The 17,168-nt window shown below is 41.0% G+C and overlaps 1 long non-coding RNA gene across 1 annotated transcript in view; it reads right to left on the bottom strand.

Moving 5' to 3' along the window:
* LOC105377684 (uncharacterized) overlaps positions 1 to 17,168 on the bottom strand; it is a 114,041-nt gene that overhangs the window by 62,046 nt on the left and 34,827 nt on the right. The window contains exons 3-6 of the long non-coding RNA XR_941139.3: positions 9,715 to 10,068; positions 6,209 to 6,311; positions 379 to 500; positions 14 to 220 (exon numbers count right to left, since the gene is read on the bottom strand). This is a non-coding gene — a long non-coding RNA (uncharacterized LOC105377684). The remainder of the gene's footprint in view (positions 1 to 13; positions 221 to 378; positions 501 to 6,208; positions 6,312 to 9,714; positions 10,069 to 17,168) is intronic.

The following is a 17,168-nucleotide window of genomic DNA, read 5'->3' as shown; positions in this document are numbered from 1 at the left end:
CATTAATGCTTACCTCAAAGTTCCCTGATCTGACAACTCACAGTGAGTATCTCCTAAGCAGAGCTGGTCTATAGGGAAAAACTCCTTTTCAGATTTATCTTTCTCCAAGTCTGGAAAAGATTCCGTTTTTTTCTGTCATCTGCTGCCATGGCTGTTGGCTGATGTAAAACTCAGGGCTCATCACCAGGTAAAATGTTCACACGTTGTTTCCAATCAAGGTCTGCCACAGAAAGGTTGAATTTGCCTTTTTCACCCATTCCCTGCCACAAGCCCAAAGAGCAAAGGCAATGTCACCACGAGCTGTTTGACACCATGCTCATCATATATCATGCCAAGGGGAGAAAAGAGTCATGGTCTCTGTGAACTGTAAAAACTTACTCCAGAAATGTGGTCACTTGGCGGCTTTTTGGATTGCCTCACTTTTTCTCCCCAGATGGGCTTTTCTTCAGAATTGTTTTCCAAGTGGCAGCTTGTGTTTATTCTACTGGGCTTTTGGAGAACTTAGGAAAAGGAAAAATCAACAAAGTGTAGTTATGCACATGGAAGACCATATGCTTCATAAAACTGCATATGTGCTGTGTTTAAGATGTAAAGGAAGATATGCAAAAAGCCACCTGCCAACTTCCCAATCCACCTCGATTAAAAAACTCAGAAAGCCCATGTTCATAGTCAAAACCTACAGTGATGCCTTAAATTTCACAGACTGTTAAACCTGAAAGTTGAAAGTGCTATTCAAGGTTGCAAATACCAGTTCCCACAGGGCTGCAGGCAGGTAACAGAAATGAGTGAAGTGGGCCAGAAGGGATGGTCGGTGTAGAAATGGGAGTGAGGACCTTGCCTTTAGACAATTGTTGCCAAACGAAAACACAAAGAAAGCTAGAAATCCACATTATTTTATGAATTTTCCTCAATTTTTCAATGTTATTGAATTATTCAGATTTAGTCTAAAACATTCTGTAAACAATATACTCCACTAAGATTTGATCCAAGGGCTTCCAGTGTGAGACTTCTATTCTAGAAAAATTTCACTGTTAATTTTTTTTTTTTTTAAGACAGCATCTCACTCTGTCACCCAGGCTGGAGTACAGTGGCACAATCATGGCTCACTGCAACCTTGACCTCCCCAGGTGCATGCGATTCTCCTATTTCAGCCTCCCGAGTAGCTGTGACTACAGGTGTGTGCCACCAGGCCTGGTTAATTTTTGTATTCTTTTGGTAGAGACAGGGTCTTGGCATGTTGCCCAGGCTGGTCTCAAACTCCTGCGCTCAAGTGATCCACCCACTTCGACCTCCCAAAGTGCTAGGATTACAGGCATGAGCCACCATGCCCAGCCTCATTCTTAATTAATAATATAGAAGCTTGAGTAAACAAAGACACTTTCTCAAAGTCACACTGATTGTAAATACCAAAGGTGTCACCAGGGCTCAGCTCTTCTAACTTTTAGCCTGCTATTTTCCTCCTAACTCTGGTTTTGCACAACCTGCTTTAACTTGCAAGGTTTTATATACAGGTATTCAGATGGTCAATTTCATTGTGCTTTTGTCCCGACTGTTTTTCGTTTACCCTTCAAGATCCATTCTGCACCCTTCTTGATCTGTGTTTCAGGAGGCTGGCCTGTGTAGACTAGGTCAAAGAACTTCTTTGCTCTCTGGCTTTTAGCTGAGTCTGGCCAATGGGAGGTCTCAACAGGAGTTCAGAGGGAAGGTAGGTGGAGAGTGAAAATGGTGTGCTTATTCTCCTTGCTTCTTTCCTATTTCCTTCCATTAAGGGCTTCTCCGTGGGGCTTATTTCTCGGAGTTTCAGTAATGGCACCCTCTCCTTGCCCCTTCAGACTTGAGGATAGTAATGGAGCAAAAGTTTACGATGTGGGTCTCCACACGCTGCTCTGCCTGCCTGAGTGGGAGCTGCAAGTTAGTCCTGACTTCTGTCGGCCGTTTCCCTCCCAGAGTTGGTAGTAGTGGCTCCCTGTGGTTAGGTCCAGGGCGCTGTATTGTTCCTTGCTGGTTTCCCCAAATTCTGTCCACACGTTTGTAAACGGTCTCTTCATTAAAACCTCTTTGGTTACCCAGTGGAAGTAACATGACCACCACATGCTTTGCCTAATGAGAGTCTCCCTTAGTATTGAGAATCTTGTCTCCTGAGAAATCCCTCCGTGCTGGGCAAACCAACTTATGCATGAGTCCTATTTATATATTTCTTTTGAATTTTCTGCTTCTTGTATCATACTACTTCTTCTATCTTTAATAATTTTAAATGCTCTTATTTTATAGTCTCATAAAGATATTTCTATTATTTCGAATCTTTAAGGTGCTAATTATCCTTTTGAAGCATTTAGTATCTTCCTTATGATGGTAAATTTCTGGGTGTGAGTACTTCATGCCCTGATTTGTAAAAATGTCCCAACAATTCAGTTTCACAATTTCCCCTATTATATCCTAGGGGTTTCATAGACTTAGGCAATCTATGCTAACTTATCACTGGTATACATTTAGATACCATGCCCATATGTGGCCCAGACCTGGGGTTTTGATTTTTTGGACACAGCTTCTTTTTCTTTTTTTTTTTTTTTTTTTAACTGGGGTTCTAGATGGGTGGCAAGCTTACTTGCTTCTTTCCTGGACTCAGATGTGGAGTTTTTGTAGTCACCATCCCACGGACAATGCAACTTTTCAAGGCTCATGGCTTTATGCTGAAGCTTAGTTCTATTTTCCCTACCTAGCAAGGGCTTGAGGCCACATTTCCTGTACCCCAGTGGGTGTTAAATCCCCAACCTTCAGCTCTTAGGGCTTATATCTGGGTCAGAAAATTTTGCTGAAATACCAACTCTCCATTACTGCCCTGGCTTTGATTTCTCTCTTCAATTCTTGTACCTGGGGATTTTTTTTTTCTTTTATGCCGGAATATTTTTAAAAATTCTATTTCTATTTTTTATTCATCCTTTGTACAAGTTTGCTCTGCCATATTATCAGAACCAAAGATCACTTTGAAACACTGAAGTTCATGTCCAGCATAAAGTTGAGGTAAACTATGTGTTCCTGCTTCTGTCTTGCATAGTCACTAACAAAATCCAGCTGACAAATTAAGGCCAAAATAGAGCGAGTCTGAGGGGCCCAGACTTGGATACCTAACGGAGTGTGAGTCATTTCGGATATTAATCTAGCCTCATTTACAGTGATTGGCACCAGGAGGCAAGGTGGAAATGAAATATTCATTGCCCATTCAATATTACCTAATTTGTATGTCTAAGTGTTGACAAAAGAGAAGCCTTTGCTGTCTACTTTATGAGTAATTGTAAATTAATATGCAACCCTGCACCCATTCCAGGGAGAAGAGAATCACTTGGATTTGCCAACTGTTCAACAGCACGGCCTGGTTTTATCTGCAGATGTCACCCATCCCACCTCCCACTGTTGGAAACCAGTGGGAACAGAGAGACTTCCTAAGAGAAGTGCCTTTGGATAATGTCATAGAATCTTGAATCTAAGAATCTTAAATAATCCAGATTAAAAGCAACATTAAATATTATGTTTCAACTTAATAAATGAGGAAGATGAGGCACAACTTGTATTTCAGGTACAGATATTTCCTCAAATTCTTCCAAGCACTTTTGCAGCACTGCCAAACATTGTCATTTTGCTCCTGCAATTATTTTCTTGTTATGAGGCTTGCTGTTATTTTTTTTTCACTTGAAAAGTTGTATGGAACAGATCTTTGGATGTTCAATACCTACACAGATATAGTAGGCAGGACTGGAGTGCTACATCCATCAGCATGACTTACTGCCCAAACACGGCTGCTTTTTCTTCATTTGCTTAATACATTGGGCCCTGAGTTCTTCATGTGCTTAATACATTGGGCCCTGAGGTTTCCTAGGGCTCGGTTAGAAAGGAAATGCTCAGGGCTTTGACACATTGCAAATGTCAACTTGAAGTTCCAGACACTTCTCCAAGCACGTAGGCTGTCAGCATAAAAACCAGGGCCCCATAGCACAAAGCAGGTATCTCTACCATTCCCCAGCCTTGGGCCCTCTCTAGGGAGATTCAACTCAAGTTCAAGGCTGGGAGTGGGAGGCCATCTCTGAATCTAATTTCTTTATTTAATAAAAGAGCAGAGGCCAGTGGAAGAGGATCTCAGAGGAATAAAGCTATGTGGGGGTTAACCACAAGGGAAAAGCATTAATGTAATTGGAAAAGAAGAAAATGGTCGTAATAAAACTAGCAAGTATCATCTATGCCCTTCTCATTCATGATCTTATTTCATCATTACCCCAAAAAAAGATGTAAGTTAAGTACCAATATTAATCCCATTTTACAGATGAAAAAGCAAAGGCACAAGCAGCTCAGCAGGAGGTCACATAGCTGGTAAGTGGCAGAACCAGAGTTTCATTCAGACATTCCTACTCCAGAGACTTCAGTCTTAACCACTATGCCTGCTATGTCATAGATTCCAAGGAGCACCATAATTCAAACGTAATGCTTATATGTTTCTTTTGCATTTTCTTAAGTCTGCTCCCTTCTCTTATAGGTGTAGGTTTTAGTAATAACAATAGTTTCTAAATTTCCCTATATAAAAAAGCAGCAGGGTAAATATTTTACATGAATACATTTTCTTATTTATTCTCACAACCCTATGAGGCATTATTAACCACTGAAAAAGCTGAGACTGAAGGTTATTAGCCCAAGGTCATACAAGTAGTAAATGGCAGAGACTAGATATAAACCCAAACCTTCTAATTTCAAAGTCTGAGCTCTCATTACTAGGACAGTGAATATCAAACTTTATACCCTGGGAATCTTTTAGGAAAGCAAATTCCAGGCCTCTATTCACAGATTCTGAATAGTAGGTCTGGGTAAAGCCCTGGAATCTAAATTCTTAAGAAAGAAAAAAAAAAAAAAACCTCCCTGGATGACCCTGATGCCAATTGCTTGAGGATTCTGCTTTACCAAACCCTCCCCACCACATTATCACTGTGACTACAATGGGTCAAGTATTAACTGATCAGTTGTATTTTAGCTGTATTTATGCTATTGCTCACTGAATTTGCTCACTATATTGCAGGTGTCTCTTTCTCCTCTCCCTGCATATCACCCTGAGTATCAAGGCGACTGTGTTAGTTGGGACATTTCTCATTGCAAGTGACAAAACCCAATTAAAATCAACTTAAGTAAAAGAGGGAATTTACTGGCTCATTGGACTGAAACAGCCAGGGGCAAATCTAACTTCAGGCATCATGTTCAAGGAATTCATCTCTCTCTATGTCTCAGTTTTGTTTTCCTTTATGCCTTCATTTTCAGGCCCAGGATCCCCTCAAGGGTTGATGGCCACCTGCAGCTTCAAGCTTATATCCATGTAGTTTAGTGACTCTAAAGCAAAGAGAGAGTCTCATTCTCAATTGTTCTGGCAAAAATCCTTATAGGCTGATTTTCATTAGGCTGTCTTAAGTTCTCATTCCTGAAGCAAACACTGTGGCTAGAGGGTGTAGAATATTCTGGTTGGCCGAACATTAGTCAAGTGCCCACTTGACGAATGGGTGAGAAGTTCAGCCTGACCATCACCACATGGATTGAGAATGGCAGAGAGGTGGTTCTCCAAAGGGGAGAGCTGAAAGGAATAGAAGGAAAGGATAACAAGCAGGGAAAACTACCGAAGTCCAGCACACTGGAGCAACATGTCTAATTCCTGGAGCAGAGATGGCCATGCCACTATTTATTCTCCTCCCAGATGATGATCCAGCAAGGTATTCCCATACCCTAACTGAATTAGGCTGGCCTGGGGACCCTGAGACTCTGCACTAGCAAAACAAAACTTGGCTTTTTACAAACATTGTAGAACACACCATAGAATTTTAGGGTTGAAAAGGATCTTATCGATCTCCAGTCCAGCCATTTAATTTTGACATTTTAAAAAATCAACAGAATTAACCATTTTGAGTCAGAAAATTCAATAAACCATTCACTGAGCACATAAGCAAAGAGCAAACGTGTTCATTTGTGGAAGTATCACTAGAAGGTTTTGGAGTCTCAGGTTCTGGTTGCAGATGAAGGAGGCAAGTCCCTTCAGCAATTTGTTACCTATCTTCCTCCATCTGGAGACTTATAAGACTTTTCTCAGTGATGTACTGTTAGAGTCAGGAGTAGAACCCAAGTCCCCAAGTCTAGGACTCTTTCAACTCTGCAGTACGTTGTGGGAGGTATCTCCTTTTCTTACCTTGGTTGTGTTTTCTTCCCTCTTCACTAAAATGTATGCTTTCCACCCATCAAAAGTTTGCATCACTCCTTCAGCCAGCCTTTAGTGACTGCCCTCGGAACACCTAATTGTAGTGGGGAAGTAGTAATAGGTGAGATATGGTTGGTGCCCTCAAATTTACAACATGGGTCTCAAGCTTCTTGAAAACTACCACTTTCCTGCCAGCTCACCCCTTTCTGCATTTTTCCCTAGATTCTCAACAGTTCAGAGCCCTCTGCAGCCTCTCTCGTTGCTCCAAATCTCCTCCTCCTCAGGGAGGTTGTGTGGACACAGACTGACTGCTCACTATCCCACCCCACGGGCTTTGAATAACCTCTCTTGGAGCTCATTCTGCACCATGGACACCATCCGTTAAAATTTAATGGCAAGTTAGTAAAAAAATGACGCACTTTATTGGCAATTCAAATCAGGTTATTGGGCACCATCTGCCTTTCTTCAAATTAATGGGAAGAAGAAATGGATCCTTTGGGCTTTGTTTATTTTTAGATTATCACAAAAGAACCCAGAAGGCTGCCTCTAGATCATGTTAATCCCCACTGTAAATGAAGCCAAAATATCGGGGAGAGACAGGGGGTGGTAATAAGTGACCATAAACAGGTCTCCATTCACATGCAGAGATTATGGGAAAAGCAGAGAAAAGTGTTCCTGTCTTCCTGTCTTCATCTTGTCATTCCCCTTTCTGGACCAACTGGGGAAAAAAGCCAACAGAATTATAACCCCAAGGAGGTAGCCGATTGAGACTGCTGGAGTAATGTAAGTGTGGCCAGAACATCCTCTCTTCTGCAGCCCCTATCAAATTCAGGCCAAGCTGGTGGTTATGTTTCACCTTTGACTTCAGTTCTGGAGGCAGATGGAACTCCAGAGACCTGGAAAATACTAGACAGATCAAGTTTGAACTTGACCGAGAAATTCCCTCCACACGGTGCCCCTCTCTCAGGCTGACTTTCTAAAGCTCTTCCCCTCACAGGCACTGGCCCTAGGAGGCTCCAGTTAAAAAGCAAACAGGTTACCCAGGAGATGAACAAGTAACTCATTATCAACTGCTATCCCATCAGCACAGGTTCCCGAGCAGATGGCTGCACTGCACTCTGAGGGAAGAGCTCTGGGCTGAGAAGGGCGGATAGGCTACGGGACTGAACGTGAGCCTCCTGGGAGCAAATACACAGGAAATTGGGAAGGTTCGAATGGGAGAGAGAGATGAAGACATGGCACCTAGGTACTAGGGGGCTTGGAGGCAAGGATGGAGTATTGCCCAGAAAAGAGGAAAAGAAAGTGATGGAGAGCTGGAGAAGTCACAGAAAAGGGCAAGGTGATTTCAAATACAATGTTTGCTACCCTCCAGTATTTTTTCTAAAGTATGTTGTCCCAGATTGGAAGGAACACCAGAGCATTTGATTTTTCCATCCTTGATACAGTCATAGATATTTCTGGGGCGGGGGATGGGGGTCAGGGGGAATGGAGGAGGCTGTTTATTTTAGTAATCTTCACATTGATGTATTAATAAATTTAAATGACCTTATTACTCTAATTTGTTTTGTTTGTATGTTATAAAGTACAAGAACAACTTTTGACAATTTCCAGCAGCAATTATTTCATTTGGGGGTATTTTTTGCAATAGACTTTAATGCATAATTGTCAAGCTCCTATCAATGTCCTATCAGCATCTCATAATTATAAAAGTATTTCATCATTAAATGCACTTGGGAAATGCTGAAATTCACACCCTCATTCCTTCTGTTTCAAGTGGTCTTGTTTGCACACACCCAGTAATGGAGAATGCTATGCCATCAGCAGCGGCAGCTCATTTTGCTGTTGGAAAATTCCACTGGATAGAGTGTTCTCCATATGTCAAATCCAGGTGGTTCTCAAACTTCAGTGCACATAAGAATCAGTGTAGAGTTTGTGAAACTTGCCTTGCTGGGTCCTACCCTCCGAGTTTCTGACTCAGTAGATGTAGGGTGGGGTCTAGAATTTGCACAGGTGACTTAATCCCATCCATCTCCCTGTAATTTCCACTCCCTCTTCCGTGTAATTCCCAGAATGACCCAGCAAGTCTAATTCCCTTTCCAGTGTGCAGAACTTCAAACACTTAAGCCCAGCTCCCCATTGCAATATAAGATCACAAGGGTAGGGATAGGGCCAGTAATGGTTTCCTTGCCTTCTTCCCAGTGGCTTCAATGGTGTTGACAACAGTGTGCACGCAATGAAAATCTGTTGAGTGACAGGCACAGAGTCACTGCTATATAATTGTTGCTTGTTATTATTACTTCTGAGGAATAGAAACCTCACAAGACAGAGCTTCCTTCCAAAGGGCTCCAAGATAAGCTGTAAATGCACTCTTACCCTGTCTTCTATGTTTCTAAACCTCAATAGGGCCCAGATTCAGACAAAGAGTGTACTTTTGCTTTGGGTAAGGCATTTCTAGATTTTTTCTTGTGCAGACCTGGCAGGGCTGATGTTACTTTATATCTCTTTAGAGAATGGGCTTACAAAAAGAGTAACATGGTGGATATTTTCATCCAAGAATTCTCTTACTGAGTGGAAGGAAATAATGGAATAATGAATCTCAGCAATCGGATGGGAAATGGAAGAGTAAAACCAGTCTCCCATAGAGGAGGTTCTCCAGACGTCCTGGTAGTAATTTACCCTCGTATTAAAACCCCGTAACTGGAAAAGAGCACAAAAGTGGGCATGACAAGGGCCTAGTGCAAGAGCAGTAGGTTCTTACTCCTGGTTTTTCCAAGGGAATGGATGTTTCTCGGGTCTATTTCATCGTTATTACCATTCCCACCTTGGGCATGGTGTCCCTCCAGCGATGAAGCTGTTTTGCACCTATAGCTGGCCTCCTTGCCTCCCCAAACCCCTGCAGAGCCAAACAGCTGCAGTTTAAGGGAGAAGAAATAAAAAGCCTTTGAAATGAATCATCCTAAAGGCAACTCATTTTTTTGTTTGAGGGCATAAGTGGGGTATTCGAGAGCTGACTGGAAAACTTCCTTTTCAGAGCCCTTCCTGGCCTCAGGAACAAGTTTTTCCAAAGCCATCCCAAGCAACTGTCTCAGCAAAGAGACAAAACCAGAAGACACTATTTCTATAATTACAACTAATTACAATCTTATGATTCCATTTAATCTCCACATAAGGAGTTCACCAACTGAAGAACAGCACTGATCCTCTGTGCCTGAGCCAATTAGATATTTTGGTTCAATCCAGAATGGCTACCCAGCCTTTGCCAGGATTAATTTGTGTTTAGAATTTTATTTTTATAGCCTCCAAGGCATCCCAGATTTTAAAGGGACACTGGAAACCAACCACTTTTGCATGTCTGCTCCAGCAAGATCTGCATATTTCAAAAATCATTAAGAAGTTAATACTGAAGCCCATTTTACTTTTCTCCCCAATAACAAGATTTTTTTTAACATTGAAGTGTTTAGATTTCCCTGAGAAAAATAAAAATGATTTCTTAATACCTTGGAATCTTAATCCAGATCGTCTAGGAGAAAAGAGATTACAAGTGACATCTCAATTTCAGGCACCTCATTAGTCAGGGACTTGATTTCCGATGATTGCTCTGCTAATTGACTCAGAGCTGACTGCTCCTCTCTGGGGAAAGAACTCCATGAATCCTGCTTCCAGACCTCCAGGGGTTCGCAGACTCTTGCCTTTCACCATCTGAGGGTCCCAGGGCCTCGAGAGAAATCACAGAGGCAGTGGAGTCTCTGTCATTTACCTATTCTGAGATCCGAGGCAGGTTATTTATCCTCTCTGACCCTCCTCTTCCTTGGAGTATAGAATGAAGAAAATGCTGCCCGCCTGAAAATTTGCTGTAAGGATGAGAGCATGTGTTACTCTAGGGGCCGGGCACAGAGTCAGTGCCCAAACAAAATCATTTATTTGTTGCTTCAACCAGAAGTTAAGCACAAGAGTGGACATGCAATATCCAGGCCCTGTTTTCCTGTCCATTATAATCTGATGGGGAAAACAGATATGAATCAAATAATCCCCCAAATTACTTACAAACAGAGGTAAGTACAATAAAGGGAAGGAACGCAATTTTGTGAGAATTTCCGCAGAGCAACTGCTAGCTTGGTGGAGACGGGAGAAAGACTGAGGTCAGGGAAGCGAGGAGGAAAGATGGAGGAAGCAACATTTGAACCCAGCTCTGAGAGGTAAGAGGGCGGGGAGGAATCCACATTGTAGACACTGGGAAGGGCAGGATCAGGGAAAGAGGCCATTGGAGAGAGCAAGGGGCAGCATGGCAGAAATGGGGCTGGATTAATCACCAGCAATTTTCCATAAGTTATTGGCAAGCTTTATCCCACGTAGGCATACAGCGAAGTCCTTGATTAAATGACAAAATTTTCCAAGTATATCTTAAGAAAAAACTTTTAATCTTGCTATGAAATAAGACTTGACAGAAATACTTCCTGATCAGGTTACCGATTTCTCTGAAAAGATGCTTAATTTATGTGAAAGGAGAAAAAAAGGAAAAAATATATAATTATATATAGCTATATAATTATATGTAGTAGATAGCTAGAAAATGAATAAATGAATGCATTATAATTTGTAATAAGGAGAAGTAGACTTGGAGTTGACAAATGATCTGAGATAGAGGCTCAACCCTGATCACTACTAGCTATATTATCTTAAGCAAATGTGTTATCATTTACTCAGAGTTTTCTCTGTGACAGGCACTGTGCTAAGTGCTTACCCAACATGTACCACTGAATTGTTGCAGCCAGCCAGTGAACTACCCAAAGTCCTGCTTATCATCATCATTATTATCATCTCCACCTTACGGAAGAGACAGAGGCTTCAAAAAATTAAGTGACATGCCCACTTTTACATGTGTAATATACGTAACAAACTTGGCATCTGAATCCCAGCCACTGCCTCCAGAATCTGCATTCTAAAAATCACAGCATCATTTGCTCTGTGCAGCCAGAAAGTGGTTCTGAAGATCAAACAGTCACAGAAGACCTTTGTAAAACCCTCAAGGCCTCACCGGCAGAGGCCACCAGAATAAACAGCTCTGCCTTCTTGCCGTGAGACCAGACCCTTTCAGGTTCACTATGACTTCATTCCAACTATCCAATCAGGGTCTTCAGAAGGCATTTCCTTAGTAGGCCCCTTCACCTGCCTAGGGACCCATGCGTCCACTGTAATTACTGCCAAAGTACCATATGTATGTGCACATGGCATTTTTTCTTGAGGTTGATTACCCAAAATGTTTATGAGCTTCTGGGAAGAGGAATCTTCTCTCAAAATTCTGATTCAGTAGAGTTGACTCAAAACAATAAGGGACTGGGAAGTTCAGGAAAGATTTTTAATTCAGTCTGGTCTCAAACAGGAGTCACTTGCTCACTAAATGCGTTAGGTGGGCCCATGATGTGTCAGTCCAGAGGTCCAGCCACAGCTGGAATCCTTTAAGAATTATTTCAGGTTTACTCAAAACAAAACAAAATGAAAAATAACTTCCTTACTCCTTCTTTGTACATTAGGAATTAAATAACTTGCAGGAAAAAAAGTCTAAAACACATTAAACTCTGAACAATCTGTATCCCTCAAGTTCTGTACAGCCTTCGCCAATGTATATTGAAAATGTTTTTGCAGAATTGCAATTAGTATGTATCTTCCCCTTCACACTGGTTTTCACAAATGGTATTTCACATAAACATTCTTGTGCATTGGCATGGCCCAGGTTCTTGTTATTTTAATAACCTGGTAGTATTCCATTCTGTTAACATTTCTTGAATGCATTTAAGTTAAAAAAAGAAACTCAATTTTTGATCTTTGACACTTTGAATTTTGCTTTAACATTTAAAAAACTGATATGAAAAATGCTAACAATGTATGACTTAAGGGTTTCAGAGGATAGGCTTTGGAATCCAACAGACATGTACTTGAATCCCATTTCTACCTCTTACAAGTTATTTGACCTTGAGCAAATCACTCAAGCTGTCTGAGCCCTAGTTTCCTCATTGTAAAACAGGGATAATAGCAGTATCTTCCTCTTCAAATTGTTGCAAGATTAAGCATATTATTGTGCTTAAAGTGCTTTGCAGAGTGCTTGGTACATGCTAAAAGCTTGGTAAATGACAGTTCTTGGCATAATAGACAGGAAACAGAGAGTTGGATCCACCTAAGGCATTTTCTTTAAAAGGGGTGAAAACGTTATTTTTCCAAGGTTATAAAGAAAGGAAATCAGGAGAAATAAAGAAGTATCTGAATTGACCACATGTTGGTGTCAATTTACTTGCCAATTCCAAATCTGGGTGTCTGAAATGAACATTTTCAGTCCTAAAATGAGGATTGCATCCTGGGGCTCATGAACATGAATAAATATATTCAGAGAATAAACACACTCTACATGTCTCTGGCATGATTCCCCTGTTCAGCCTCAACACTGCCCACCTTTCTGCAAAGCAGGTCCTTCCACGCCAAGTCAGCCCTCCACCACCACCACCATCAAGGAGAATTTTCTGACACTTTCCCCAACCAATTGTCTGAACATGTAAGCTAGACAGAACCATGGTAATTCTCTCTTGTCCAGCTCATTTGCTTTATAGATCAGAAAATGGGAGGCTTAGGCAGGTGAAATGAATTTCCAAGTTTGCATATCTACTTAAGGGCAGAACTGGTATGTACAGAACCTGGTCACTTCTAATCATCAACCCACAGATTTTCTAATCGGTCATTTGTGTTTCACCTTGATGATATTTTATTGATCCATGAATCTTCTAGACTCCTATTTACTTGATCTTTCTTTTTTTTTTACTAAAAATAAATGTAAAAGGAAATATTATATAACTAAACATTAATAGATAAAAAACAGTATTACTAATTAAATGAAATAAAAGATAGTCAAAAAATAAACAGCAGACCTATAATTAAATTCTAGTTGAAATGCAACGATCTATCAAAGGATCAGAGATGGAAGCAAATGCTCTCATCCACAACAAAAGAAATTAGCAAGGGTTCAAGAGGGGCTGAACAAGGATAGACAACCGGCAGTCTAAGATTCCATCAAACAAAAAGTCCATCAAAGTTTTCTTTAAGAGGATAGAAAAGGAATGAAAAAGGAATAACTGCATTGGCTTGGTAGGACAGGTGTGAATTTGGGAAGTACTAGCCTGTGACATCCTGTCTGTCCTACACCATCTCTTACCTGTCACCCACCAGGGAATAGTTCCTGAAACTTTGTGTTTTGAGGTTGATTCTACGATCCCACAAAACTCTTCATTTCTTTGCTTCCTTCTACACTCTGAAAGCTCTGTTTAAACCATCAACCTTCATAAGTAAAGTTGTTCACAGTTTCATCTGCAGATAATCTTAGCTGTGGTTTAGCTTTGTGCATAGGCATTATCTTATTTAATCTCAACAACATCTTTTTAAGTGGAAACCACTGCAAACTCCATGTGAGGACTGACACACGGAGAAATTATTGAACTTGTCTATGTCTTCAGCTGGTAGCTTGGAGTTGCCTGATTCCATACTCTATGCTCTTAATCACTGTGGTACACTACTTTCCAGTCTAACTTCAGTTGATTTATTAATAATTTGCTTCAAAAATATTTACTGAATATTTCATATGATCCCATCAATGGACTCAGCACATAGGAACGAGCAAAGATTGATATAACTTAGTCCTTGTCCTTGACTTTTACATGTCATTAATATGTTCAACAAATACTTATTGGCCTACTACCAAGTGGTAATCTTGATGAAGAACCAAGAGATATGCATCTGAAAAAATCCACAAATAAACAATATAATAAAATACCAAAATGTACAGAGCAATTGGTAAGAGTTATGAGCAGGTCAAGAAAGAGATGGAGTGTTGGTCTAGCATTACTGGGGAGGGCTTCCTGGAAGACACGACCCTTGAAAGGAGGGAGGACATTGCAGGCAAAAGTACAAAGCAAGCAAAGTGATAGAGGAGACACCCAGCACTGAGTGGCAGAGACTCCTCTTCTTAATACCTGATCAATTGGCAACAACAAAACAAACAAAACACCCACCCAAAGGGCAGCAGGGTCTCACATTTCTTAGCTATAATTTTCAGAGATCAATGATAATAAACTCTGTGAGGCAAAAGTTCCTCCATTCTTAAGAGTGGCACTGGGTAGAAGGGGAGCTTTCACCAAAGATGCTTTAGGTTTCAATTGTGTGCCTGAGAAAGCCCTGCAATTGGCATGGCCTAGAATATCAACACAGGGGCAGGAAGCTTTCAGTTAGCCTCAGTGCAGCAGAGGGTGAGGAAGAAAAAACACACTTACTAGAATTGTTGGCCTCGAAAGCTTTGAGGTACACCAGCGAGGTCGGAGCTTAGAAAATAAGTCCAGCTCCTCACAGTTAAGTACCAAGTGCTGTGAATGACTCAGAGCTGGCTCATTATGGACCTATTTCAGCTAATCCTCCACAGGCAACAATCCTCCTCTTTTCTGGGACTGTGGAAACCTGGGGAAAAAACCATTCCTTTTCTAGTCAGGCTTGAGGGGGAAGAGCCATCCTTCTTTAATAAATCTCTGAGCTCACAGGATTCTTCTTACTGTAGCTAGTGCTAGAAAGTGTAGAGTTTGCAGGTCTCTGAAATGTTCAACACCCATTCTGCCCCTTCCTGATTACACAACAACAATAATAACATGTCTATTAGCCTATCCATCTTCTCTATTAGATGTTAAGTTTCTAGAATGTTACCCATACAATCACTTACCTGTGCATTAATCCAATCAATAACTGAGTGGCTCAACGTACTCACCTCTATTTTAGCACCTGTACACTTTATTGTACTTATTTCTATTGGAATCTGGCCCTTACCTACATCTCCAGCCTCATCTCCCACTACCCGGCACTTAACACTGTAAGGTCCAGCCGCATTGATTCTTCTTCCTAGACAGTGAGCTGGGCCTCCTCTCTCCCACCATAAGGCATTCACATGTGCTGACTCTTCTGCATGAGCATGGAACAAATATTCTTTTCCACCTTCCTCCATCATCTGATAAGCTTCTACTCACCCTTCAATCTCAAGTCTCACCCCGCCCTCCCAAGCCCAACTCCCAGGCTAGGCCAACTTTTTAAATCCTAGGCAACTGAAAATGTATAGTCTGTAAATACAATGAGGCAAGGGATCTTGTCTGATTTTGCTTCCCAGGAACTAGCATGGTGCCTGGCCTGAAGTAAGCACTCAGTATGTGTTTGTGGTTTGAATAAATGAATAAATGAACAAATGTGGTCCTTTCCTTCAGGGTTCTGTCAGATCCTTCAGGCCATGATAGTGTCTCATATTCTTAGTGCCTTGTGCCATGCCTGGCATATGAGCACTTAGTAAATGTTTGTTGAATGTGAAACTTCCATGTGCAAGTCTCCACTTTAAAGTACTGTGAAGGACCACAAATAAAAAGTTACATGAACAACAAAAAGCCAAGCACATAAACATATGGTCCCAACCCTTAGAGAGTTTTCAGCAAAATACAGGAAAGAGGACAAGTACATGAGAATCATAATGGTGAAAATAAAAAAGGGCAGAGAAGGAGTACAGACAAAGGGGCTAAGGAAGTTCAGAGAAAGGGAGATCACATCTGAGAAAGGGTATGGACAAGTTTTAGGGAGGAAGCCCTGAGCCCAGCAGCTATTCTAGTCTTTATATGGAAGCCGTGTGTCCAGTGCTCTGTTGGGAAGGACTGTTCCTGGGTCAAATATGAGTAGGGGAGGTGCCCACCTACCACCACTCCACTTTTGAACCCTTTCTCTATTTCATGAAGGCTCAATGCAAGACAGACAATTTAAAAGCCTGCAGGGGCCAAGAAACTAAGATAACCAAAAGGTGCAGGTTTACTGTGGCCAATTCCAAAGCACATTTCCTGCCTGACAAGCAGAGGCAGCTGTTACTCAACTACTGTCAGTTGTTGTCCTGTGTGAATACCAGCCCTGTGTAGTGATTTTTACTCCCCAAGAAAATAAAGAGATCCAGATTCTGAAATGAAGTCTTCCAGTTTTTAAATGTTGGCAACTAATTCAATTTTTAGGCTCAAAAAACATTCTTTAGGTCTGTGGATGGCATCCAGACTGCAGACCTCATCCAGTCATGAACAGCTGGCTTACAACCTCTGGCCTAAACAGGTTAGACCTGTGAAAAATTAAAGCCACCATTTTGCAGCCATGTGATTAGCACATGTTAACAAATCTGATCAAATCAGATGTTGCCAAGGAAGTGGAGCAACAGGAACGCTCATATTCAGCTCCTGGGAATGATGATTGGAACAGCTGCTCTGGAATGCAAATTGGCATTATCTTGTAAAGATAAGGAAATGCATATCTCATTACCTAGCAATTCTATTTTTGGCATATTCTCTAGGGAAATTGTTGCAAATGTGCACGAAGAAACATATAACATATAAAGAACATACAAGAATGTTCATAGCTGCATTGTTTATTATGGCAAGAAACTGAAAACAAATCAAATGCCAATTAAAAGATTAAATAAGCTTTGGCATAATCATAGAACAGAATAAAAATAACTAAAGTGCTATCAATTAACATGGATCTGGTGTCTTGAAGGGTTGGGTATACACTTCTAAGTAAGATCTTTCTTCTAAGGCCTCTAAGATCTTCTCATCTCTAATGTGAAGCAATCCTAGATATTACTAACCCATTGTTAGTGTAACCTTTATTCATTCAGCAACTATTTACAGACCATCCATATGCCAGATATTCTGATAGATGCTGAGGATGCTGTGACAAACCAGATATTGCCCCTGTCCTTACAGTGTGGTAGAAGAGACAATGTTAAACAATCAAATAAACAAATAGAGATGTATAAATGGTGAAAAGAACAGGATGCTATGAGAACACAATGGAGGAGGAACATAGCTTAGACGGAATAGGGAGGACTATAAAGGGTTACAAAAGTCCTCTCTGT

Source organism: Homo sapiens, chromosome 5 (genome assembly GCF_000001405.40).
Source record: "Homo sapiens chromosome 5, GRCh38.p14 Primary Assembly".
In the NCBI taxonomy this organism is placed as follows: Eukaryota; Metazoa; Chordata; class Mammalia; order Primates; family Hominidae; genus Homo; species Homo sapiens.
Note: the sequence above shows the minus strand (reverse complement) of the source record. Positions and strands in the feature narration are given on the sequence as shown.